The sequence below is a fragment of the Homo sapiens genome, chromosome 6 (assembly GCF_000001405.40).
Source record: "Homo sapiens chromosome 6, GRCh38.p14 Primary Assembly".
In the NCBI taxonomy this organism is placed as follows: Eukaryota; Metazoa; Chordata; class Mammalia; order Primates; family Hominidae; genus Homo; species Homo sapiens.
Window position 1 is genome coordinate 169560459 of NC_000006.12, and position 25877 is coordinate 169586335.

The following is a 25877-nucleotide window of genomic DNA, read 5'->3' on the forward strand; positions in this document are numbered from 1 at the left end:
TGGCCCAGACAAGAAACTCCAAGTGAGAGCCAGGCAAGGCCAGTGTGCAGGGAGGCTGCCCAAGCCTGACGGGAAGGCACCAAGGTGTCGGGCACAGCCAGGTCCAAGGGCCAGGGCCTTGTGGCTCTGAATTTGAAGATGGGCTTGATGCTGGCCCTCTTGTTGATGGGACACTAACTTTGGTCACTTTACCCCATCATCCTCAGCTACATATCCAGTACATACAATCATTATCAGATTGCTTTATTATTAATGTTTTTATATATTACATATTTATAAAACATAAACTATTGTAAAAATGTAAACTACACATTTTATACTACCCCATGCAGATACACACACGCCCCTCACAGAGTGTCACACCATATCAATCCACTCTGTGGAGGCGAGACCTACTTAAGGGACAGAAAGATCGTATAATCCAACACCTAATTTTAGAGATAAGAAAATCAAAGTTCAAAAGGTTTGCTGAGGAACTACATAGACAAATATATAGAATTTTTGTTCTTATTATTTAAATATTTTTAAGAGGTAACTGTTTAAACAAAATTGATAATGATCTAGTGTGGAATTTAGAACAAATGTGGTCTTAGTCCATTCAGGCTGCTGTCACAAAAATGCCATAAACTGGGTGGTTTGTAAACAACAGACAGTTATCTCTCACCGTCCTGGAGGCTGGAGGTCCAGGATGAAGGTGCTGGCAGTGCCTGGTGAGGGGCCTCCTCCTCATAGACAGTGCCTTCTCACTGCCCCTCACATGGTAGAAAGCGCCAACAAAGTGCCCTCAAGCCTCTTTTATGGGGGCATTAATTCCTGTCAGGAGGCTCTTCCCTCATGACCTCATCACCTCCTGATGGTCCCACCTCTGAACACCATCATCTTAAGAGAGAGGCTTTCAACATATGAATTTGGGGGGCAGAAAACAAACATTTAGATCATAACATTGTAAAAGTAAAATGCATGACAATAATAGCACCCAGCCTGGAGAGGAGAAATGGAAGTTTGCTATTGTGAGATGAAGTGGTTTCATATCACTTAACAATAGAATACCACAGCTAAAGATTTATACTTTAAATTAAAGAAACCTCAAATTAACTAAACAAAGAGTTACACCTAAGAAGCCAAAAAAAAAGATGATAAATGGAAATACAAAAAATATCTAATGGGGCCAAAAGAAAGCACAAAAATAAAAAAACAAAGATCAGAAGGAGCAAATAGAAAATGAATAAGCAAGACAGAGTTTGAAACATAATCACATTAATAATCACATTAAATATGAATGGTCTAAACCCACACATTAAAAGGCAGAAATAGTCAAATTGCATAAAAGATCAAGATGTAATTAAATACAGCCTATAAGAAATGCACTTCAAACAAAGAGACCCAAATAGGTTTAAACAAATAATTTTAAAAGATATACCATCCTAACACTAACAAAAGAAAGCTAGAGTGGCTATATTAATATCGGACAAAGTATATTTCAAAGCAAAAAATATTCCCAGGAATAAAGACCACCATGTCATCACAATGAAGGTGTCTACTCATTAAGAGGACATAATAACCCAAACCTAATAAAGTAGCTTTGAAATAAACAAAACAAAAAACTGATAGAATTACAAGGAAAAGAGAAAACCTAGAGGTATAGTCAGAGATTTCAGTGCCGCTGTCAATCCTGGAAAGGACAAACACATACCACATAAGGACGCGGAAGACTTGAGGAACACACCTAACCAACACGACACGTTTCTCGGGTACTGCGCCGCCAACAGCAGAGTCTACATTCTTTCCAGGTGTACACAGAACACAAAGCAAAAGCAATCCATTCAAGCCATGCAAAGTATTTCCTCTATCCATGTGGTATTAAATTGGAAATCAATAAGAGTTGAAGAAAGACCTCAAACATTTGAAAACAAAACAGCACACTAATTTTAGATAACCCATGAATCAATGACAAAAATCAAAAGAGAATTTCAAAAGTATTTTGAACTAAATGAGTACATAAACATTTTCACAATTTGGGGGATCCCCTAAGGCAGCATATGGGGGAGTGTAGAGCACCTACAGCTGTGTCAGGGGCTTCTGAGAACAGAAGGGGGGCCCAAGGGAGGCACAGAGGTGACTCCAACTCTGCAGGATGACAAGCTCCAGCCTCTCCACTCTGTGCCAGGCTGCGTGAGTGCCCCGGGCACAGGATAGGGGAGATTGGAGGGGACATGGGGAGGGCACATGGGCATCACAGTGAGACCAGTGGGAGCTGGACGGAAGGTTAGGCTCAGGGACATTTGAGACATAGAAACTGGTTAAAAAAGAAAAAATCTGTACAATCTGCAGAAGTGAAATAAGGAACAGCGAGGGGTGAGGAGGCCGATGAGATAGAGGATGAGCTTGCAGGAGGGCTCCACGGCTCCTGCTCAGGCTCTGGGAGTTGCAGGTGACAAGTCAGGAGGAGAGGAGGCCACAGCCCGGGAAGGAAATGCCTGGCCTGGCTCAGAGTCCGGACTGTGAGCACAGCAGCGCTGCCGGGGGAATGCCCGGAGCAAATGGGTCTAAAGGAGACACGCTGGGGCTTTTGGAAAATAATCAGAGATCACAGTTTAAGATGAGGAAAAGTATGATAAAGTCAGAGGCAGCATCGAGTGAGGAGACAATAAAGCTGACAGCGGACCCCAGAGAAACCCGCACATGGAGAAAGGTTTCCTGCTCAGTCCGCCCTGGACGCCTCCCTGCACTGTGGCCTCCGAGGCTGCTCTGCCAGCCGCAGTTGAACCCAGCCTCCTCCACCTCTTTCCTGCAACTCCGCTGCAGCCAGGGTCGGGGACAGAAGAAATGGAGTCGGTGAAAAAGACAAAACAAAGCCAAAAAAGTAGCAGCTGAACCACGCGTGAGTCCTGACGGGAGCCCACAACCCCAACAGGGTCTCTACCAAGCCAGACCCTGAACACTGAAGTGTTCAGCTCACACCAGTCAGACCCAACTTGGCTTCAACTCCAAACATGTGCCTGAACTAACATCCGTGAGTCTCTAACAAACCAAAGGTTATTTTCAGTTTAAAATTCAAGTGTACCTTAAAAGAAAAGCTGTATTCGAGAGCAGAGGGGATGTCTGTGAAGGAGGCTGCGTGGAACTGTGCTCACGAGAGACAAGAGGAAGGCCCTGGCCACAGGGATGCAGCCACAGCCGTCTCTTCTGCTTCAACATCATTAAGATATAAGTTTAATCAAAACAGATTTTCTTTCTTATTTTACAATTTAAAAATCTAACCCATGAGGATAAGAAAGTTTACTTTCCAAATTCAGAGTCTGCCTTAATTTTGTGATTTCTGAGCCCACACCTGAAGGGGGACACGGGTGGGTGGAGGTTTAAAAGGAAGAGTCTGCAATTCTCGAGCAGCTCAGAGGCGCTAAAAACATCACATCCGTGACATGATCCAGCCTTCACAAGACAGTGGCTGTATCAGTCAGGGATCCCTAAAGGGACAGGACTCATAGGATAGATGATGAGTATATGGAGGGGAGTTTATTAGGAGAATTCACTCACACCATCACCAGGCGAAGTCCCACAATGCTCTGTCTACAAGCTGAGGAGCAAGGAAGCCAGACCAAGTCCCAAAACCTCAAAAGTAGGGAAGCAAACAATGTAGCCTTCAGTCTGTGGCCGAAGGCCCAAGAGCCCCTGGCAAACCACTAGTGTAAGTCCAAGGTCCAAGAGTCCAAAAGCTGAAGAACCTGGAGTCTGATGTTCGAGGGCAGGAAGCATCCAGCATGGGAGAAAGATGGAGGCCAGGAGACTCAGCAAGTCTAGTCCTTCCACGTTCCTCTGCCTGCTTTTATCCTAGCCAAGCCGGCAGCTGATTAGATGGTGGCCACCCACATTGAGGGTGGGCCTGCCTTTCCCAGCTCACAGACTCCAATGGTAATCTCCTCTGGCAACACCCTCACAGACACAGCCAGGACAATACTTTGCGTCCTTCAATCCAGTCAAGTTGGCACGTGGTATTCACCATCACGGTGGCACAGGGCAGCGGCAGGCAACACGAGGCTGTGAGAGCCTGCACTGCTTTGTGGTTCCTGGATCCGTGTCCCTCCCTCACCACCTCCTGACCTCTCCGTGGCTGACCACCCTCCACATTTGGGGAGAGTGTGCTGGGCTGCGAGTAAGGTGTGAGGCTCCCTGGAGGACAGCGCCAGCTGGAGGCAGCTCTACCACTCAGCACCTGGACAGAGCCCGGTGCTCACACTGGCTCCCACGAGACTCTCAGGCTCACCCATCTGCCCTGGGAGTGGCCCTGACTTCTCTTCTAGCACTGGAACGCTCCATGGCTCCCATCTCCCAGCCCAGTTTTCTGGCCCTGCCCCCATTCCGTCAGCTAGCCCTTGATGTGCCTCAGGTAACCAAACGCGTGAGTGAGTGAAGTAATGAACGCCCGCGTCCTCATGCCAACACCCATGTGGACCCCACACGCAACCACAGGTGCAGAACGGGTCGGGAGTTAAGTGACCATGCCAGGGACCAGCACACGAGAGCCGGGGAGACCCCCACCAGGTACGCTGTCAGCGAGCACTCCCTTCCACCAGCCTGAAGCCTCGCCGAGCTGAGCCCAGTCTAGCCAAGCCTCAGAAGCCTCCCGGCCTGGGAGTGCAGTCCCGCCACCTTGCTTACACGGCGGGAGATGTGTTCTGACCAGCACGGGATAGAAACTGCGAATCAAGAGATACCTAGTACTCCCTTCCCAGTGAACAAACTGCTAACGTTGTTGTGTGTGCTTCTGCCGAGACTGAAGGCCAGTTTCCAAATGCAAAGCCTAATTTTTGGGGGGCAAAATTTTATACCAAGATTAAACTTTAGTCACTCACCAGAAGACTAAATTTTAATATGCAGTTCTACATAATATTCTAAATTAGAAACATCTAAGGAAATCCAGACTGTATTTCAGATAAGGCGGAACACTGCCCCGCATCTGGGATCCATTTAATATTTCAAAGGGACCCTGAAGTCTCATCCCCTAAAAACACCCCCACCAGGTATTGGAAATCTGTATTTCCCCGCTTGTCTTACGCAGTGGAGAAACTGAGTGTCCCGTTCACAATGTGTGTTCATAATCACACAGATGCTGGAAGGGTTCGAGCATGCACACAAGCCACTTCATTTCCTTTACTTAATCTGTTCCTAAAGAGTCAATGTTAAAGAACAAGTTTTGTAAACCAAGTAACATTTTTAAAATTATTCTGTTTTTAGGGATAGGGTCTCGCTCTGTTGCCCAGGCTGGAGTGCAGTGGTCCAATCCTGGCTCACTTGCAGCATCGACCTCCCAGGCTCCCGCGTAGCTGGGACTACAGGCATGAGCCACCACACGCAGCTGATTTTTCATTTTTGTAGAAATCAGGTCTCACGATGTTGCCCAGACTGCTCTCCTGGGCTCAAACGATCCTCCTGCCTCAGCTTCCCAAAGTGTTGGGATTACAGGCGTGAGCCACTGCACCTATAGCCCCATTTTTTAATTAACTGATAATTATGAGCTCAGCTTTGACTTTTATGATCAATGTGTCTTCAATAGCTCAGTTTTGTCTGTTGTTATTCATTAGAAGAAACCAGATCAATTATGTAAGAAATAAAACATTTTGTAATGTATTGTTACTCGTTAGAAGGAACCAGATCAATTATGTAAGAAATAAAACATTTTGTAATGTATTGTTACTCGTTAGAAGAAACCAGATCAATTATGTAAGAAATAAAACATTTTGTAGCGTAAACAATAGCACCACTAGACAAAGCTCTGATTCTGATTTCTAAAATTCCTCAAGTCAATTCTGAGAGTGACAGCAGGGAAGAAAGCTTGTGGCTAGACAGCAGCCCTGCTCACCTGGGCAGTGGTGAGGGCAAGGTGGTCTGACAGCCCTTGCTCCTGGCAGGGAGCCCCCAACCCACAGAGGGGCCGGCCCTCCAGCACCTGCCACAGACCCTGAGAGTGGCCACTGTCCCGGGGGCCTCGAAGAGACTCTCAAACCACGTCACGGGATGAGAAACAAAATGACAACTCAAACTATGTCACGTGATGAGAAATGACATAAATATTTTGACGATGACCATTAATTGGTTCTCACTGTTCTGTCATTTATTAAGATGGGCATGTACTGAGTATTTTTGTATTGTTTAAAACAAATAGCCAAGGAACCTGAATTTCGGGGCCTGTTGGAGTTGAGGCAACGTTAGAGACTACTGGAGCACTCACTCTCACCCTGGGTGTTGCGAGGCTGCCACGCATACATCCTGTAGAAACGCTTTCTAAAAAGGATAATCAGATTCCAGTGTGGGGGATTCGGACAGTATCAGGACTGAATTTGGTAACAAAATCAGCCATAGTCTGTGCTTGACTAAGAACATGCACAGATGTGCATTTGAGACAGTGGATAACAAGTGTGGACACTGAAACTGGGAACTCAACTGTAAAAACAAAATTAATATTTACTCTACTTGGCTCCATTTATTAAAAATGCATAATAGGCCAGGGCAGAGGGGAGGCATCCCACATAGAGACACCTCAAGTGCTGGGCAATGCCTGAGAGCCTCAGGCACCAAGCAGGCCAACAACGATGTCTGCGTGCCCCAGAGTCTGATAGGCAGCAGCCCGAGCCAGGTGGGGCTGTCTGGGGGACCTTTGGAAATGAGTCAGGCACTTTGGGCTGTGACAGTGACACCTGGGGTGATCGGTGCTGCTGGGGAGGACCCGGGATGCCACACATCTGGCATCATGTAGGTCAGTCACGCACACTTTGGCTTTGTCCGTGATAAACACCATTTGAACGGGGCCCTTCCCTGCAGGTGTGAGGAGTCCAGGTTGGCGCAGTTACAGAGAAGGGCACCCTCACAGACGGTCTGCGTGGCAGAACAGTGCATGTGCCTGTTGTGGAACTGACTAGTTTAGGAGTATCACTTTCTGGCCAGTGTGAAATTCCCAGTAAGATGTCCTCAAGTTCTAAGTAGCTTGGCTTCTTATAGAGACTTCCTGGCTAAATGAAGCCAGGGCAGGAACTCCTGGGGGGCTCCCTGACGCTCCCCAACAGCAAAAGATGAGAACTTCACACACAGCACCAGGCGCAGACGCTCTAGTGCAAGAGCCTAGGAGGTGCTTCCAATAACCACAAGCAAGACTGAAGGCGGCGTGCTGAGAAACACAGTGTGGCCCACACCTGTGCCACGCTCTGAAACAATAAAACTGTACTGCCGGGAAGAAATTTTGGAAGCTCTCTCCAACCCCTTCAGCCCCACAGCGGATTCCTGTCTTAGAAGAGGCAAAACCCAGGGCTGCGAGTCCTGCTTTTTAGGATGCTCCCAGGACCTGCACCTCTCTTTCCACACCAACTTGGAAGCTGCAACTCTGAGAATAAAGTCGGAATCCCACAGAAGAGGAGTGAGAGCGGCGGTCCACTGTGTTCCTAGAGAGGCTGGCCCTTGTACCCCAGCCACTCTGCAGACGTAAAGCTGGGAGGAAGGGCCGCCAGCTCCAGTGCTGAGAACACAGCGCAGAAAAGCAGCATCTGTGTTCCAGGATGAGTAAACAGAGACCCAAGGGAGCTGCCGAAACCGCACTGTAAAGGAGAGGGAGCGTCAGCTCCACCAGGAAGAGCGTCTCCCTCAGCAGGGCTTGGGGAGACCAGTGGTTCTCAAACAGGTCCGTGGAAGCCTGAGTCTGACAGCAATCACTCAGGAACCACACTCAGGAACCACAGACTGAAGGAGAAAGAGGCAGAAGGTGAGTCCCAGGCTCTGCCACCACCCAGCCAGAAAGCCCCCATGATTGTGCAAGGTTCCATTTGGACAAAGGGTTTCAAAGTAAAAAAACACTGAAAACCACTTCTGAAGGAAAAAAAACATTTCTTATAACATACTTGCTCCACATCTAGTACATGTCTTCCATGAAAAATAAGCAAGAATCTGTAGGAGCCAACAGGAAAGGCACAGCTGAAATGAGACAGCCATGCCCAGGGAGTAAGGACACAAGCTCACTCTTCAAGTCACTGCACTCACTACTTCAAGTCACTAAGCTCAGTAGGGACCTGCAGCTGTGGGAAATAAAGTGGATGATGTAGAAGACCCAGTTGAAAACAAATTCTCAAAATGCTGAAGAAGAGAACATAAACCCTAAAATGCTCACTTTCTCTTTTCAAAGAAAATAAAATTAAGCTAATTGGTTGACAAACAGGGAAGACCCAACTTTCCAATCCTACATATTCTTGAAGGACAGATGGAAACGGATGGATTGATGACCTCACAGTCTCATGGATTAAGGGGCCATGCAACACCTGATAGAGGCTCCACTGTTTTCCAGTATGCTTAGCTGTTTTATTTAAAGATTTCAAATCTTAGAAGAAAACAGAACTGAGAGGAAATGGGTTGTTCTTTCATTTCATGCCCCTCACCCCTGTGCAACTTCTCTGTGGGATGTGGTACCGTGTCTCAGTATCAATCGTAGGGCTGTGGTGCCATATGGTTTTAGAAGGAAGCCGCATGCCCCTGGTTTGCTGTCCCTGCTCGCTCCCAAGAGGAAGAGACGCCGCCCACCCAAAAGCTTTGAAGCCCCTCTTCCATCAACAGAGAACGCAGCAAACAATTCCACAAAGACAGCAGGAATGCACAGAGGTTGGAGTGGCAAGCAAACAGCCAACACACAACCGTGGGACCGTGATGCTACTGCAGCATGAGTTTCTGATGCACCAAGATGGTTTTGTACACAGGAAAATTATTTATGGTTTATTTTGATGTTTATAAATTTAAAATTCAATTCATTAAACACTTAACGTTTTAAAACCCTAGTCTCTAAGCCTTTAATCCTATTTAATATTTTTTATTACATTTAGAAATCTAGTATATTTTAACAATCACATGCAAAGTAGCCTTTGATTCATGTTCAGTTAACTCACAATGAACAGATTAAATCCCTCAGGCAATGAGTTAAAGTTACAACTTTGTTAAAGTATTTTAAAATTGTTAAGCTTCATTTTAAATGTACTATATAAGATTTTCTTGAATACTTAAATGACAAAAATAAAATGTAAGATGGTCCTGAGTTCTTAATCAATTATTAAAAATCTAACAAAGCAAACATAAATATGGTGAATTTTAAGTTCTCTTAAAAATTTAAATACTTATAAACTTAGTAATATTTTCCTTTTTTTCTCAACTAAGAAGTCACAAGTCCAAGGTCAATACAGATGTCAAATTAGAATCAGATCTTTTAAAATATCAACATCCTTAAAGCATTGCAAATGCCTTAAATATTAATTATTCCAGGTTATTCCTAAATTCATGCAAGTCTATTAATGCTGTGGCTTTGGTGTATTTTGCCATCTCTACATTTAATTCTAGCCACTAAAATCTTTTCCAGTCTGAAGTGACTTGGGGTTACCATTCTAGGGCAGCTAGAATTGTTTAACGACCAAAGATTTCACCCTCTCACAAAACCCAGAGCCATCTACACTCAGAATGAGTCTTCCTGCCCAACTATCTCCTGTTGGTTGGGTTTTACTGGACTTAGCCCTCTTGAGGGCAGGAGTGTCTTCCATGCTGCTAGGAAGAACCCTGATGCCATCACATTGGGCACCACGGAATGCCATTACCTCCTCATCTACCTTCATGGTCTGCGGGGTCATAGTGTATCCACGTGGACTCGGCAGATCTCTTGCGCTTGATGCTGGTCCCACCACAACACTCATGGCCACAAGGAAACCACAGGTGCTCTTCATGGAGCATGGGGTTGGGGGGTGGTTTAGTCAACGAGAAAGACCTGGGTAGCTGACAACTTAACTTTCAACAAGGACAAACACAAGGACTAAAACAGAAATGAAAAACAAATTTCAACACAGATGAAAATGCTAGACCAGGTGGGACCCAGAGGGAAGACAGGAGAGAAAAAGAACCTTCTCCAACCACTGTGAAGTGTGAGGGGCTATCTTCAGGAGGACACGAGACCAGCAGTGTGTACGTGATGCTTCACTCCCAGGAATACTTGCAGTAAATCATGCAATTCTCTTTACGGACATAGGTTTACTCATTCTCAGCAGTCCTTTCTGTTATCTTTAAAAAGCTCAACTGGCCAGGTGCAGTGGCTCACGCCTGTAATCCCAACACTTTGGGAGGCCTAGGCGGGCGGATCACCTGAGGTCAGGAGTTGGAGACTATCCTGGCCAACATAGTGAAACCTCGTCTCTACTAAAAATACAAAAATTAGCCAGGCGTGGTGGCGGGCACCTGTAATCCCAACTACTCGGGAGGCTGCGGCAGGAGAATTGCTTAAACCTGGGAGGCGGAGGTCACAGTGAGCTGCGATTGTGCCATTGCACTCCAGCCTGGGCCACAAGAGCGAAATTCCGTTTCAAAAAAAAAGAAAAAAGCTCTATTTAGGAAATCTCTCCTCATAAGACAGGACGCAGGCCAGGAGTCTCCCGTGGCGGCCAGGAAGGAGGGGACAGCAGGAGCTGCACCTCAGCCTTGCCCTCTCGGCCAGGCCCACTCCCTGCCCGGTATTCTCTGTATACAAGCATCACCACAGAGCAGACTGTTTCAATTATGAGTTCTTAGAAAGAAATAGTGCAATCTTGCTCCTGAATTTATAAATTAGCGGATACAGTGATCACAAATATCACAGGTTTTTATCCCATGTAAAAACCAAGGAATGTAACCTTTCCTCCAGGTATATGCTTATGTCATTTTTCCCTGGCAAAGCTAAACCACAACTCTCAAAGTAATACAGCCTAAATAAAACAGATTTAAATTTCACACCCACATACCTTAGTCAGAAAAAAATTAAAAAAAAAATAAATAAAAAGATGACTCAATGAAGAATACTGGAGATTTAAAGTTTCCCAGAAGTTAACAATGCTGTCTTTGCATTTCTATTTGTACAATGACTCACACAGATTACTTCTGATAACCCCACTCTCATCAAAGTCTTAATAAAGTGAACGACATGCAGCTGAATTCCCAACTTTTCGGACTCAAACCAGCAATTAGCAGGAAAAGAGCCATGCTATCCTGGCATAAACATTTACGTTCCACATTCAACACCCAGCAACCACTCAAAAACTGCATTGGGCCACGTGCGGCAGCTCGCACCTGCAATCCCAGCACTTTGGGAAGCCGAGGCAGGAGGATCGCTTGAGCCCAGGAGTTCAAGGCCAGCCTAGGCAAACTGGTGAGACTCCATCTTAATACAAACAATAAATAAATAAATAATTAGTCGGGGGTGGTGGCTTGAGACTGCCAGTCCGAGCAACTCAGGAAGCTGAGGTGGGAGCATCACTGGAGCCAGGGGGTTTGAGGCTGTAGTCAGCCGTGATCACACCACTGGACTCCAGCCTGGGTGACAGAGCAAGACCCTGTCTAAAACAAACAAACAAAAAACTACAACACACACCAAAGAGCAGGGGAGGTTTGGAGGGAGATCAACTGTCTCTCGACAGAGCAATTAACAGAACTATATTCAGAAATAACCCAGATATTGGCACTGTCAGTCAGGAATTAAAAATTATTATAATATGTTAAAAGTTCTGTAATTTCAGCAGAGACACAGATCTCTGGAGGAAAAATTTTCTAGGCCTAAGGTAATCAGAATAAATCAAACTGGAAAAAGAAAACAAAACACAAAAAGCCAAACCAAATCTAGAGGAAACATATAGTGTAAATACAAAGATGAAAATTTTAGTTTTAAATTAAAAGCTACAGCAATCATTAGGTAAAACATTGAGTCTGAAGTATAAAGAGATGAAGGATATAAACATGCAATTTAAAAATTAAAAGAATTCTGGGCCGGGCGTGGTGGCTCACGCCGGTAATCCCAGCATTTTGGGAGGCCGAGGTGGGCAGATCACGAGATCAAGAGATCGAGACCATCCCATCCTGGCCAACATGGTGAAACCCCGTCTCTACTAAAAATACAAAAATTAGCTGGGTGTGGTGGTGGGTACCTGTAATCCCAGCTACTCGGGAGGCTGAGGCAGAAGAATTGCTTGAACCTGGAAGGCGGAGGTTGCAGTGAACCGAGATCGTGCCACTGCACTCCAGCGTGGGCGACAGAGCGAGACTCCATCTCAAAAAAAAAAAAAAAAAAAAAAAAAATTAGAAGAATTCCAATACCTAGTAGCCTGTGGGACAATGTGCAATCTCATTAGTATTCAAAGAGCAGTAAATTAAAATCGGGAGTTACTGTTTCTTGATAATTAACAAACGTAATGCAAGTGTGAACAACCAAAGCTGGTGAGGAAGCAAACAAGAGGAAACACTTTGAGAAGCATTTGTCTATAGCAGAACCCTTTAAAAGTTTATTTTTCTCAGTAATACTACTTGTTGAGAAAGTAATCTATCTTGAGAAAATAAACCCAGATACAAAAAACATTTTATGCCCAAAGACATACATCAAAACACTACTTATAGTACCAAAATATTGAAAACCATGTCAATGTCCACTCTACATGATATAACTACTTATAGATAAATCAGTTTGCAAATGTCTGTTTCTGCCTTTCCTGCATGTGTCAATGCGCCGCATACCAGCCCCCAAAACAGAGCCGTCCCCACGCCACCCTGCAGACCTTCCCTCCGCACTCCTGCTTTCTTCCCTTCCCAGGAGGTTGTGTTGCAGCCCGAGCCTCCCGGGGTGCACCTGGGCTCTGCACGCAGACCTCCGCCTTCGTCTGTGTCTTGTCTTTCACTGAAACTCTCCGAGAACCCCCCAAGTTTCTACATTGTGTTCTAGGGTAACAGTACTGACATGGTTTAGATGTAACTCAGTATAGCTGGAAAGACCAAAGCAAGTCTTATGATAAATCCTGCACAACTGAGAAATGCAAAATTGAAAATAAAGCCCAACTACCCAATACAATATGAAAAGTTTTTATATCATCTTACATTAATCCTCTTTTATTTCATTACAGTTGACCCCTGAACAAGGGTTTGAACTGTGCAAGTCCACTTATAGATGGATTATTTTTCAACCAAACTCGGATCAAAAATACAGCCCCCCAGGATGTGAAACCCAGGCAAATGGAGGGCAGACTATGTGGGTTCTGTAGGACTTGAGTGTGTGAGGATTTGGGAGCACACGGGGGACCTGGAACCAATCCCCCATGTAGACCGAGGGATGACTGTAACTATTTTACAACTGACAATAGAAAATTGATGATTGCGATAGTAATATAAAATCAATTTGATAATATAAGGTAATGTGATATTTGTGACTCTGCTATCCATTCCAATAAATTATATCTCTGTGTATCCGCGTGTGAAGCAGCTTTCTCCATACTTAACCTGCACGCTTCCTGTTCTTCCTGAACTCCCTGTGTGAACAGTAGGCTCCCTCTGCAGCCCACACTTTCACACTCAGGGACCCATCAGTTACATCACAGCTTTCTTTCGTCTTTTGCATCTGTGGTTTGAGATACTTCTGCCTTGCTAGTTTTTTGCTGGAAATAAGTCTTGCTTGGCTACCATCTCAGCCAGGATAATTTAACTATGGAGCTTCTTGAATTTGTGTTCCCATCCTAAGCAGTTAAACAGCTACACTGATATCTTATGGCAAATATACCACTGTCCTCAGATGTCCAACAAACTGAAGCTGACAACGCATCCCTAAGTCACATCTGACAGGGCGCATGTGGCGCGCAGCTGCAGTTCCTGGCAGGACACCCAGGTGTGCTTCAGAGTCTTGGATTCCGAAGCCACTCTGCAGAGCCTGTGGTCCCTTGTGAGCTGTTACAGTTCCTTACTCATTTTGAGGGTCCTCTTAGCCACAGGCATTGTTAGAATAATTTTGTAAGTACAAGTATAATCCTCTTCTTCCCAAAGACTCACAAGTCTTATTTTGACAACTGAGCAGTAACAGTGATGAAAAACATTACTTTTTTTTAAGCGTATCTAGAAATTTACTCTGAGAGGCTCAAAACTTTAGTTTTGGAAAGGGGATAATCGTTCTCACAATTAAAATGTATTAAAACAAAACAAAAACAAGTCATGGAATCTGTCTCCCGCTTTTCAAAAGTGATGTGAGTTCCCTGAAACAAGATCGGTGAGTGCCACATCCGCCCCAGGTGACACACTCGAAAGCAGGGTTCCCAGAACGTGCCAGCCTCGGTCCCAGCGAGAGGTGGGAAGCTCATCCTGCAGTGCCAGATCTTTCACGAAGTGCGTTCATGAGCCTGAAGTCATGGAGAGGGTGCCAGCTTCCAGGACTCGGTGAGTGTGTGGTGGGGGCCGGCGCCCTGTCCCCAACCCTTTCTCACAGCCCAGTGCTCTCACCCTCAGTCCCGACACCACAGAAGCCACTGTGGAGGGGCCAGGCCAGCCACACATCCAGGAAAGGAGAGCTAGAAGGCCAATAGCTTATCTCTGCAGGCACGTATTCAGATCAGGGAAGTCACTCAAAGGCATGAGATGAAAGGGAGGAAGCAGGGAGCATGGGTGGGCATCATGCAATCCATCGAATCCTGCCTGAACAGGACAGAAAGGCAGAGGAGGGGACTTCACCCTGGTATTTGTCTATCTGCCTCTTTGAGCTGGGACACTAGTGTTCTCCTGCCCTTGGGCTGGGACTTAAACCAGTACCCCCCAATTCTTCCCCCATTCTCAGGCCTTTGGACTCAGGCGGGAACACCACCACCAGCTATCCTGGGGCTCCAGCTTGCAGACAGCAGATCTTGGGACTTCTCGGCCTCCACAACTGCATGAGCCAATTCACATAAAAAATTTCATCCATCCATCCACCCATCCATCCATCCATCTCTCTCCCTCTCTATCCATCCATCCATCCCTCCTTCCCTCTCTCTCCATCCATCCCTCCCTCCCTCCCTCTCTCCATCCATCCATCCCTCCCTCCCTCTCTCTCTCTCCATCCATCCATCCCTCCCTCCCTCTCTCTCTCTCCATCCATCCATCCCTCCCTCTCTCCATCCATCCATCCATCCATCCATCCATCCATCCACCCACCATCACCTACTGATTCCGTTTCTCTGCAAACGTGTTTCTGTAACATGTGTTTTATCCTCCTACTGGGAGGTTGGTCTTATCGCTCCCAACACTGATCCTGAGCTGTTGAAGGCAGGCAGCCTGAGTTTCCTGTCTGGTGGGAGGGGCTGCCCTGTGTGAGCTAACATCCTACTCTCCTCAATAACGCAGCCCGCTCTCTAGGCCAACACATGCACTTTACATGTTAATATGCCTGGGCTGGAACTTAGAAGGGTCTTTTCCTAAAATAAAAATTTCAAATCATTATTTTGATGCACCATCTAATAGATTTTCTTAAAACAAAAGCTTGAGTCACATGTTTCATTTTATGGGCATGATTTTAAACAACATTATGTGTAGGGTGCACCAGAGATTTAACAGAACAGAGAAAGAACATGCTACTTTAAAAAGGAAGGATGAATATTTTAAGGTTCAACAATTTCACAAATGTTAGTGAAGGGATAACGTGTATCTTAAAATCAAATAAATGTTTTCCTGCAAAATGAAGGCTTCTAAGCCCATCTGCCATGCGTTCCTGAAGAAGCGTTGCTATTTCAGAGACGTGTCTGATAACCATGACTGGAAAAACTGCATACTGCAAAGCTTTTGGAGTAACGGGCCTGCTTTAGATACTTCTATAGACAGAGACAGCACCAGATGAACACCACTCCTAAAATTCAATAACATTACAACATGAAATGTGGTAGAGTGTGTTCATGTTTGGAAATATTCCTTCTCTGTGTCCACCCACCCTCAGGGGACTCACTATCCACTCTGCTGGGCTGGGCTGGGCCTCATGGTGGGCATGACCATGGGGTATGGGATGGTGGCCAGCCTCCACCTTGCCCCATGGCAGCCAGCAGGTCTGGTGGGACTTCACCAGTCGGCCATGCTCCGAGATGAAGGGGATGCCAGACAGAATTGGATGACCTTCCATGAGTGTCAGGGAAAGCCTCTGGTATTCGGGAAATTCTGTCATATAACAAAACTCAAAGATGAAGATTACCATAAAATAAATTATTTTTCAGACCAGGCATGGTGGCATATAGACCTGTAGTCCCAGCACTTTGGGAGGCTGAGGTGGGAGGATTGCTTGAGGGCAGGAGTTTGAGACCAGCCTGGGCAAAATAGTGAGACCCCATCTCTATTAAAAATAAAAATTAAAACATGAGCCAGGTGGGGTGGTGCATGCCTGTAGTATCAGCTACTTAGGAGGTTGAGGCAGGAGGATTGCTTGAACCCAGGAGTTCGAGGCTGCACTGAGCTGTGATTGCATCACTGTACTCTAGCCTGGGCAAGAGTGAGACCCTTTCTCACAAAAAAAAAAAAGACAAGAAAAGAAAAAAAAGGAAAAGGAAAAGGAAAGAAATTATTTTTCAAGACTGGAACTCACGGATCTTTCAAAATGTACCAAGTACTTTACAGGGTACTTTCTTAATAGAGGAAACGAAGAAAGAAAGATGGTAACTTTCCTCAAGAGTGTGTTTATAATTAGCACAGACAGAATTATGAAAATCACAGTTAAGTAATTATACATTCGTGAATCATACAGCGATTATGTATTTTATGTGAATGTAAACTGGCTTAATTGGTAGCAAGGAAGAAGGATCCTCTCAAATATGCTCAAAAAGAAAAGGAAAAAAAAAAAAGAGTTACGTGGGCCACAAGAGGGACGCCAGCGGTGATGGGGAGACGAGACCCCTGCGCCCACGGAAAGACGCACCAACTCGCCGGCTCAGTCCACAGGTGATTTTCTGCCGGGTGGGTGCTGCGAGGGCACCAGGGGCAACCTGGGAAAGTGGGAATGGGACGCGGAGGTGGTGGCTGAGGGCGGGGTCCGGGCAGGCCCGCGCCGAGGAGGGGGCGTCCGCGCCGAGCCAGGAATGGCGCCCCCCGATGTCCACACCACGGTCCGGGCATCTGCGAACGGGCGGCCACAGATTCGCCCACAGGGAAAGGGGACTTGGCGGGTATGGCTGCGTCGGGGGCCTGGAGACGGGGAGATGGTTCTGGATGTCCCAGGTGTAACCACAGCGGGCAGGATAAGGACAAAGGGTCCACACGTGGAGGACGGGCGGGGAGATGGTCGGAGTGAGCAACGGGAGACGAACTCGGCCCCGAAGCAGGACGACGGCGCCTCCGGAAGCCAGAAAAGGCCAAGAACCGGCCCTGCGTGGGGAGCTTAGCCCGTGAGCCCCGCAGCCTCCCCACCACGGAACTGCAGTCGGGAAACCGGCCTTTTCCTCCGCGGCCCATGGGAGTGGTTCGTTACAGCGGCGACGGGAAGCGTCCAAGCGTCCCTCCAAGACATTCGCCGCAGCAGCTTTTAAACCATTTGCGTTTCTGCCGGTTTGCGCTGGGACACTGGTCTCCTCCCCTTGGGCTAGGACTTAGACCTGTACCCTCCAACTCTTACCCCATTCTCAGGCCTTTGGACTCAGGCTGGCACAAGCCACCAGCTTTCCTGGGCTCCAGCTTGCAGACAGCAGATCTTGAGACTTCTCAGCCTCCACAACTGAGTGAGCCAATTCACATAAAAAAATTCCATCCGTCTCTCTCTCTCCCCAACCATCTTCACCCATTGATTCCCCTATTCTGGAAACGCGTTTCTCTAATGTGTGTTTTATCCTCCTACTGGGAGGTTGGTGTCATCGCTCCGCAGTGCTGACCCTGGAGCATGCTTAGTGGGGAAACGCAGGTCCTTCTGAGATTTCAAGCTGTAAGGCGCTCTCCAACTGTGAAAGTGTGACATGGTCCTGGAATAACGGCGCCCACACGGTGCGTTAGGTGAGAGGTCAGCATAAAGTTTACTTTCTTATCCATAGCGACCATGTGGGCTGCCGTTTGGGATATAAAAACAATGGCACGGGCTTATCTTCCAGAAAGTCCTCTTATGAATGTGAGAGGCCAGAAAGTTGTTTCAGCGTGGAAGCACTTGCAAACACGGCCTAGGTTTTGGATGAATGGCAAGTCTATCTAGATTGGGTTTTTTTTCCAATTTCAAAAAGAACTTTAAAATAAATATTTAAATACGAATGGCAGGAACAAGGTATTTTATCTTATTACAATTGTGTGCAGCACTTAATAGATTTCCTACATAGAAGCTCCCAGGGGGGCGAAAGTGCATGGGCTTGGAAGCCGTGGGGATGCTGGTGCAAACTCTGAACTGCATATAAATTGATCTGTCTGGATCACTCATCTGAGACACAGCTGCACTAACATCTGCAAACAAAGCTGCGGACAAGAACTCGATAACGAGGAAAGACCCTCAAACAGCTCCTCGCTCTTGGGGGACGCTCAACAGTAGCTTTGGTTATTATTTTATACGGCATCATTTGTTCCCAAGCAACCTTGTAAAATACACAGGACTAATGCTATTAATGACCATTCTGTATCTGAGAGACTCAGGGAGATCAAGATGTCTACAGCCTGATAGACACCTGTGTTATGAAGGAGTAAGAAGTGTGGGAGCTGCCGTAGACGTCATCACACTCCAGGTTCCTTATGTAAGGTCTCTCACCAGCACCCTAGGTACACGGCAGCAGCCAGAGTCTGCCTCCTGGCTGAGCCGATTTCCATGAGTTTCTCCTCCTGATTGCAAAGACCGTCGCAGGCTTGGTGTCAGTGGCACCAGACATGCTTCTGTGACATTTCTCCACCAGGTTAACAACAGTCAATAGTGAACTGGCCATTCCCAAAACCCGCTTACTCCTGGTGTCATCCTGCAATGACCAGCTTTGCATTTTATCAAGAAAAACTTGCTTAAGTCATAGATGAAAGGTCTGATCATTTGATGAGGCTGTAATGTGGAGGTAGAAGAGAGAGCCTTAAGCCATTTGTCAAAACAGCCCACTTCAAAGTAGCAGTAATGACTGTGGAGCTAAAAATGTATTTATCATAAGATATATGTTTTAAGTTAAATTTATAGAGAGTGAGAAAGAACTACCAAGTACCCATCAGAAATGAGAAATTAGGGGGTCTGAGGCAGGGGTCAGCAAGGCTTGTTTCCAGAGCCTGGGTCATGACCCTGCTGATCAAAACAGGATGTAGCACAGGAACTGGCCCAAACCAGCTGGGGCCAAGATGGTGCTGAAGCCATCTCTGGTTGCCCTCATTACTCATTATGCACTAATTATAATTCATCTGCATAAGACACTCCCACTGGTACCATGACAGATTACAAATGCATGGAAACAACCCAGAAGTGACCTTATGTGGTTCCGGAACTCCCACCCCTTTTCCAGAAAGCTCATGAATAGCCCACCCCTTATGTAGCATATAATTAAGAGTGGGTATAACTATGCTCACCAGCAACCAATGCGTGCTGTTCGGGGCCACTCTGCCTGTGCAGCTACCGTTCTGCTACACACTTTGCTCGAAAAAACCTGCTCTTTCACTGCCACCTCACTCTTGAATTCTTTCCTGAGCAAAGCCAAGAACCCTGCTGGGCTAAGCCCCAATTTTGGGATTTCCTGCATCAGGTCTGGACTTGTCCTGTAAAATTCTGAACAGTTGATCATAGTCAATAAAGAAAGTAGCAATCCCCCAAGTGTGAGCTATGCTCTCACCGTTTCACTCCCCGATTTTCACAGCTCCAGCATTCTCTCATTACCAGATCCAGTCATTAGGGGAAATGCTGTTGGTGTTTGTGGCACAGACTTCCAATATTTGACCACACTTGTTCCCATGTTTTCCTTGTGTGTATGTTTTTATATCATAAACAAAATAAACCATGCTTAGGAGCATACTATCTTTCCTTCAAAACAGCAGCACCCTCATATACCGCTAAATGGAATCACGTATTAAATAAACACCACCTCCAAGTTTACCTGTGCTTCACACAAGAACTTCATTTGCTAACCAAGGGTATTCATTTTAAAGTGAAGCTCTCCTTTCTTATTAAATTATGCAGGATAGCCTTCAAAGGTTGCTGTCTTACTGAGACTTGGCCATTTTTCTTGCATACATGCTCTTTGGATTGTTGCAAGCCTCTGGTTAATTTTCAGAGTTCTAAGAAAGCTGGTTTTGACAATTTCTGTGACTGTTTTCATTGCCTTTGTGAAGGAGAAGATTTTCGGTGTCCTGTCCCACCATCCCACGTGCTTCTTTATCATGTTTACTTTTAACAAAAACTTGTCCTGCCTGTGGTTATTTCCAAATCTTAATTTTACACAGTTTTATGTGGTTAACTGTCTCTTCAATAATTACCAACATTGTCCAATCCTGAGAAAATTTAAGTGATCAGAAAACATATTTTAAGAGTTACTGTAGTCATGGTAAGTAATTATTTTAATACTATGTATGAAAATAAAAACTACTTCCAGTTGTTTGATTTATAATGCTGGGAAACAGAACGGTAGTGAGGTGATATATGTGGAAGAAAGTGGACTAATATCAGTAAAGAAAGGAAATTTTTAAAAATAAGGAACCAGCCAAATTTTTAAAAATAAGGAAATTTTTAAAAATAAGGAACTTAGTGAATTTTATATATATATATATATATACATATATATATATATAAATTCGGTATATGATATCATTATCCTTAATGAATCAGTGTGATGTATACGTATACATAACTGGTTTCTCGCTGCCTGTTCTTTAGCGGCCCTTCGTCAGGAAGCAAGGTTCATGACAACTACAACTTGTTGCTTTTTCCTCTTTATTTTGTATAACTATATTTACGCCATATTTGCTTCTTTTATTCATTAATCTCAAGGGCAAGAGAGACCTACCCAACCTTTTTCTCACTGAAAAGTTTCAAGTATTCAAAAACATTCTGTCAGTCAGGCTGAAAGACATTTTGATGCCAAATACTGAAGTGTCAGGACAGCTAACATCTGACTCCCCCCATAAATCACTACACCTCTCCCCACCGCCCACCCTGCTGGGTCTAGCTTTGCACTTTTCATTTTTCTTTCTTTCTGACCACCCCTCCATCTCACTGCCCAAATGCTATTCAAAGGATTATAAAAGATTACAACAACTCAAAACAATACGTTTTACAAATGTGGAATAGGTGATGGCACAAATATTATCAAGAAAAGCAGGTCCGTTACAGTGTATATGGCAGTCTCATCATGGAAAGAGTGAAGCATCATCAGGACGTATGTCGCAGTATTATTTATAATAGGGAAGGAAAACATAAATTCAAATTCCCATCTGGAGCAGACTGAAAAGATGAATTAGGGCCAAGGATGGAATTCAGCGGTGATGCTGATGGAAGCTCTGGTCCATGACAGCACAAGATGCACTTACTCATTTCCAATATTCAATATTATTCAATATACAGCGGTAGTACCGCGTGTGCCAGGCACGGCAACATGCCCTGAACCACGGCGATACGTCCTATAGCAGAGAAGAGCGGGTCACAAGACACGTGTGGAGTGCCGTTCCACCTGGTCACACGCGCTAGGCCAGAGCACACAGTCACACAGTGACGCTATTCTCTGAATCAAAGTCTCAATCTTAAAGAGACAAAATGAAATTATTCCCAAACACTGGAGATAACTAATACCTGATATTTATTTTTTATTTTTTTTGAGACAGAGTCTCATTTTGTTGCCCAGGCTGGAGTGTAGTGGCATGGTCTCGACTCACTGCAACCGCCGCCTCCCAGGTTCAAGCGATTCTCCTGCCTCAGCCTCCCAAGTAGCTGGGATTATACGCGCCCACCACCATGGTCGGCTCATTTTTGTATTTTTTAGTAGAGATGGCGTTTCGCCATGTTGGCCAGGCTGGTCTTGGACTCCTGACCTCAGGTGATTCACCCGCCTCGGCCTCCCAAAGTGCTGGGATTACAGGTGTGAGCCACTGCGCCTGGCCAATACCTAATATTTTTAATCCTTTGCAAAAAATCTCCCTCTACATTTTAATAGAAGACCATTCATTTTTATATACAATTGATTTGCAACGGTTATTTTCATGTTTTCTTCTAATTAAGAAAGTTTCTGGAAATGCTGCAGACTTTTTTCCATAAGAATTTTCAAAATCCCGTTCTTACTTGCTCTGCTGCTTGCTTTCTTGCTGGCACTGGTGTTCATGTTAGTGCCCCATGTAACCGTATTTGTCTACATGTAACCGTATTTGTCCACAGGTCTTCCCATACGTTCCTGTTTCATTCAATCAAACATGCATGACTGCTGAGTGGCAAACACCTTCATTATAAAAGAAACTTTTCCAGATTCATTTCTCCACAATAAAGGTTTATTTCTCTCTCTCTCGCCAATAAAAATATATTTCCTAAGTTCTCCTTGCACTCAGTGAACACTGGCATGTAACCTTAAGTATTATAAGATTTCACCAAAATAAAGTCATAAAGATACAAAAATATAATGTAAGACTTGTATGCAGCAGAGGCGCCCCACCCACTCAGCAAGACTGTACCTGGGGCGCTGATGGGTTGAAGGCCACTCCAGTGACAGTGTCTGTGTGCCCAGCCAGCCGGTGAGAAAACGTGCTTGAGCCCATTTCATACACGTAAGCCTACAAGACAAGATGAGCAGGTGTGCCATGTTAACTCAGAGTCAGGAATCACCTGTAAGCTAGGCAGAGCAGAGGGACCATCTATAGATTAGTGTAGTTGATCAGATACAACAGCAACAACCAAGATGCCTGACAAAACATCATCCAAGCTGGGGAACTAACTTTATAAAATAGGCATCTTTTCCCCTTCTCTCTTGTAGATTTTTAACATCTTAGTGAACTTATGTCATACTTTCTATTTACTATCAAAAACCTCTATAGTACCCTGTGAACAGTTTTAAATATGTGCTCATGATTGATGACTAATTTTAAGGAAGGAGTATAGATTCTGTAATTCAACCTTACCTTGAAGTTCCAAATTGAATGGAAAAAAAAAAAAAAAAAAGATGCTCTATTGTCCTCCCCCATAAACTTGAGGTAGGAGATAGGTACATACACTATGCTTTGCTTCCTACTCATCAGCTTAGAATTTGAGCAATTCAAATACTTAGATTTTTTATAGCTGTTGATAAATAAGTTCCTCTTTAATTGTGTGTGTGTGTGTGTATATATACATATATATATATATATGTATATATACACACACACACACACACACACACACACATAAAATTCTGGATATATATCCAGAATTGCCATCAAATAGTTTATTTTGGAGACAAAATCTGTTATCAGATACCATTCTGATGGAATTGAGAGATGAGATAATCATTAAGTAACAAAGTGTATCAACAAATATTTTCTGAAAGCCTACTAGTAATAAAGAGCAACGTCACATTGCAGCAGGAGGAAGGTGTCAAAGACAATTCCTTTTTCCCGCAAAAACCTACTATTTTTAAAAAATGAAGCGTATTGTGTATATTTGAAGTTTGCAATATGATTTTATGGGATCCATGCCTACAGATATGAAGATAATAGTACTAGTTACTGTGGAGAGGTGGACTCTCATATCTATCATCTCACATCGCTACTTGTATTTGTGACAAGAACAGCTAAAATCTATGTAGTTCAGGAAAATCCCTAATACACCATGGTTTTACTAACTTGAGCACTCATGTTGCACGTTAGATACCTGGACTTCTCCATCCTCGCAGCTGCTGTTTCGTATCCTTTGACCCACATCTCCCCCTCCCCGCCTATGTCTACCCTGTTAACCACACTTCCTTCCATCATCTATCTTGTGTCTTTGAGCTCTTGTTAAGATACAGATTTCACACAGAAGTGAGATCCTGCAGTCTTTTTCTTTTTGTGTCTGGTTTATTTCACTTAACATAATGTCCTCCAGGTCCATCCACACTGTGGCAAATGGCAGGCTATACCGTTGTGTGTACATGTGTGTACAGACATAGGCACACACACTCCTATATCATATTTTTTATTAATTTGTTCATTGATGAGCTTTTAGGTTGTTTCTATAGCTTGGCTGTTGTGACTAATGCTAATGAACATGGGAGGGCAGGTGACTTTAAGTGGTGCTGATTGCCTCTCCTTTGAGCATATACCAGAAGGACTGCTGGGTCATACTATAGTTCTACTGTCACTGTTCTCTATACTGTTTTCCAGATGGCTGCACCAACCTACATTCCCACCAACAGTGCACAGGGTTCCCTTGTTTCACACCCTCACAACATTTGCTATCTCTTGTCTTTTTGATAACAGCCATCCTTACAGGTATGAGGTGCTAGCTCAGTGGTTTCAATTTGCATTTCCCTTATGATTAGTGATGTGGAGCACCTTTTCGTATAGCTTTTTGGCCATTTTTATATTGTCTTTGGAGAAATGTCTATCCAGGTCCTTTACTCATTTTTTAATCAGGTCATTTGTTTTTCTGCTATTGAGTTGCAAGAGTTCTTTATAAATTTTGGATATTAAACCCTTATCAGGTATGTGGTTTGCAAATAATTTTTCCCAGTCCATAGGTTGCTTTTTCACTTAAGAAAAATAAAGTTGGAGGCATCACACTTGATTTAAGATTATATTACAAAGCTATAATAACTAAAACAATGTGGTACTGCCAAAAAACACAAACACAGACCAATTAGACAGAGTATAGAGCTCAGAAATAAATCTAAATGTATATGGACAACTAATTTTCAATAAGGCCATCAAGAGGACACAATGAGGAAAGGATAATCTCTTTAATAAATGGTGTTAGGAAAACTGGATTTCTGCACACAAAAGAATGAAATTGGACCTTTATTTTACCATACATAAAAATCAACTCAAAATGGATGAAAGGCCTAAAATCATAAAACTCCTAGAAGAGAACATAGTGGAAAAGCACCTCAATATTGACCTTGGCAATAATATTTTGAACGTCAGAAGAAAAGCTCAGGCTACAAAAGTAAATAAATGGGACTGCATCAAACTAAAGAGCTTCGGCTCAGCAAATAAAATAATCACCTAAAAGAACTATTTTAATGTAAGAATGAGTCCTTCAGATGTAGGCCTTCCCAATGATTCTGTCAATGACTAAGCAGGTTTTGAAGTAAAGTCTACAAATAAATGTCTGATATACAGTCGACCCTTGAGCAACATGGTGGCTAGAGGTGCTGGCCCTCCAAGCAGTCAAAAATCCACATGAAGCTTTTGACTCTCCAAAAACTTTACTCATAACCTACTGTTGACCAGAATCCTTACCAATAACATAAACAATCAATTACCATATATTTCATATGCTATATGTATTAATACTTTATTCTTACAATACAGTAAGCTAAAGAAAAGAAAATGATATTTAAAAAATTATAAGGAAGAGAAAATATATTCACTATTCACTGAGTGGCATCATAGAGGACTTCATCCTCATTGACTTCATGTTGAGTGGGCTGGGGAGGAGGAGTAGCAGGGGTTGGTTTTGCCGTCTCAGCGGTGGCCGAGGCAGAAGAGGTGGAGGAGGTGGAAGGGGAGGCAGCAGAGGCAGGCTCACTCGGTGTAACTTTACAGAAATACGTCGTATTTTCTGCCTGACATTTTTGCTTTTTCATTTCTCTAAACATTTTTCCATATGGTACCAATCCTTCTCCTACCATTTGCTTTCGTTTCAGTGCCTATATCATAGAAGGATCCGTGTCGTGAAAGACATCAAAAGCATTGAGTCATCAGAACCCTTCTTCCAGATTGTTTAATGTCAATTTGTTTCCTGGCACTGCTTCTTCCATGTCTTCTTCCTCACTGTCTGGCATTGGTTTGAAGCACTCCTCTGGTGTGGTGTCTGTTAGCTCTTGAATTTCTCCAAGATCCATAGCTTGAAACCATTTTTGCCATATCCACGATCTCTTTCATGATTTCCTTGATTGGCCCTGTCATAAATCCCGTGAGGTCATGCACAACTCTGGACAGTTCTCTCCAGTGGGAATTGTTTCAGGGTTGATGGCCCGCATGGCTTTTCCTATAACAGT

The 25877-nt window shown here is 44.4% G+C and overlaps 1 protein-coding gene across 16 annotated transcripts in view, besides 1 other annotated feature; it reads right to left on the bottom strand.

Moving 5' to 3' along the window:
• WDR27 (WD repeat domain 27) overlaps positions 1 to 25877 on the bottom strand; it is a 275610-nt gene that overhangs the window by 134039 nt on the left and 115694 nt on the right. For 14 of the 16 annotated variants that reach the window (XR_007059231.1, NR_146875.2, XR_007059230.1 and 11 more), the window contains one exon: positions 22378 to 22476. Coding sequence is in view for 13 of the 16 variants with exons in the window: in XM_011535688.4 (XP_011533990.1) it covers positions 22378 to 22476 (99 nt within the window). In the remaining 3 variants the exon portion in view is untranslated. Of the gene's footprint in view, positions 1 to 11960; positions 12083 to 20636; positions 21459 to 22377; positions 22477 to 25877 lie in introns of those variants that run through there. The other 2 variants (NM_182552.5, XM_011535684.4) reach the window with 2 other exon arrangements.
• Positions 3520 to 4020: an enhancer, noted in NCBI's record as "H3K4me1 hESC enhancer chr6:169964074-169964574 (GRCh37/hg19 assembly coordinates)". NCBI's record gives its function as "activates a minimal SCP1, AML or CMV promoter by ChIP-STARR-seq in naive H9 embryonic stem cells {active_cell/tissue: H9 hESC(naive)}" and the evidence as "EXISTENCE:reporter gene assay evidence [ECO:0000049][PMID:30033119]".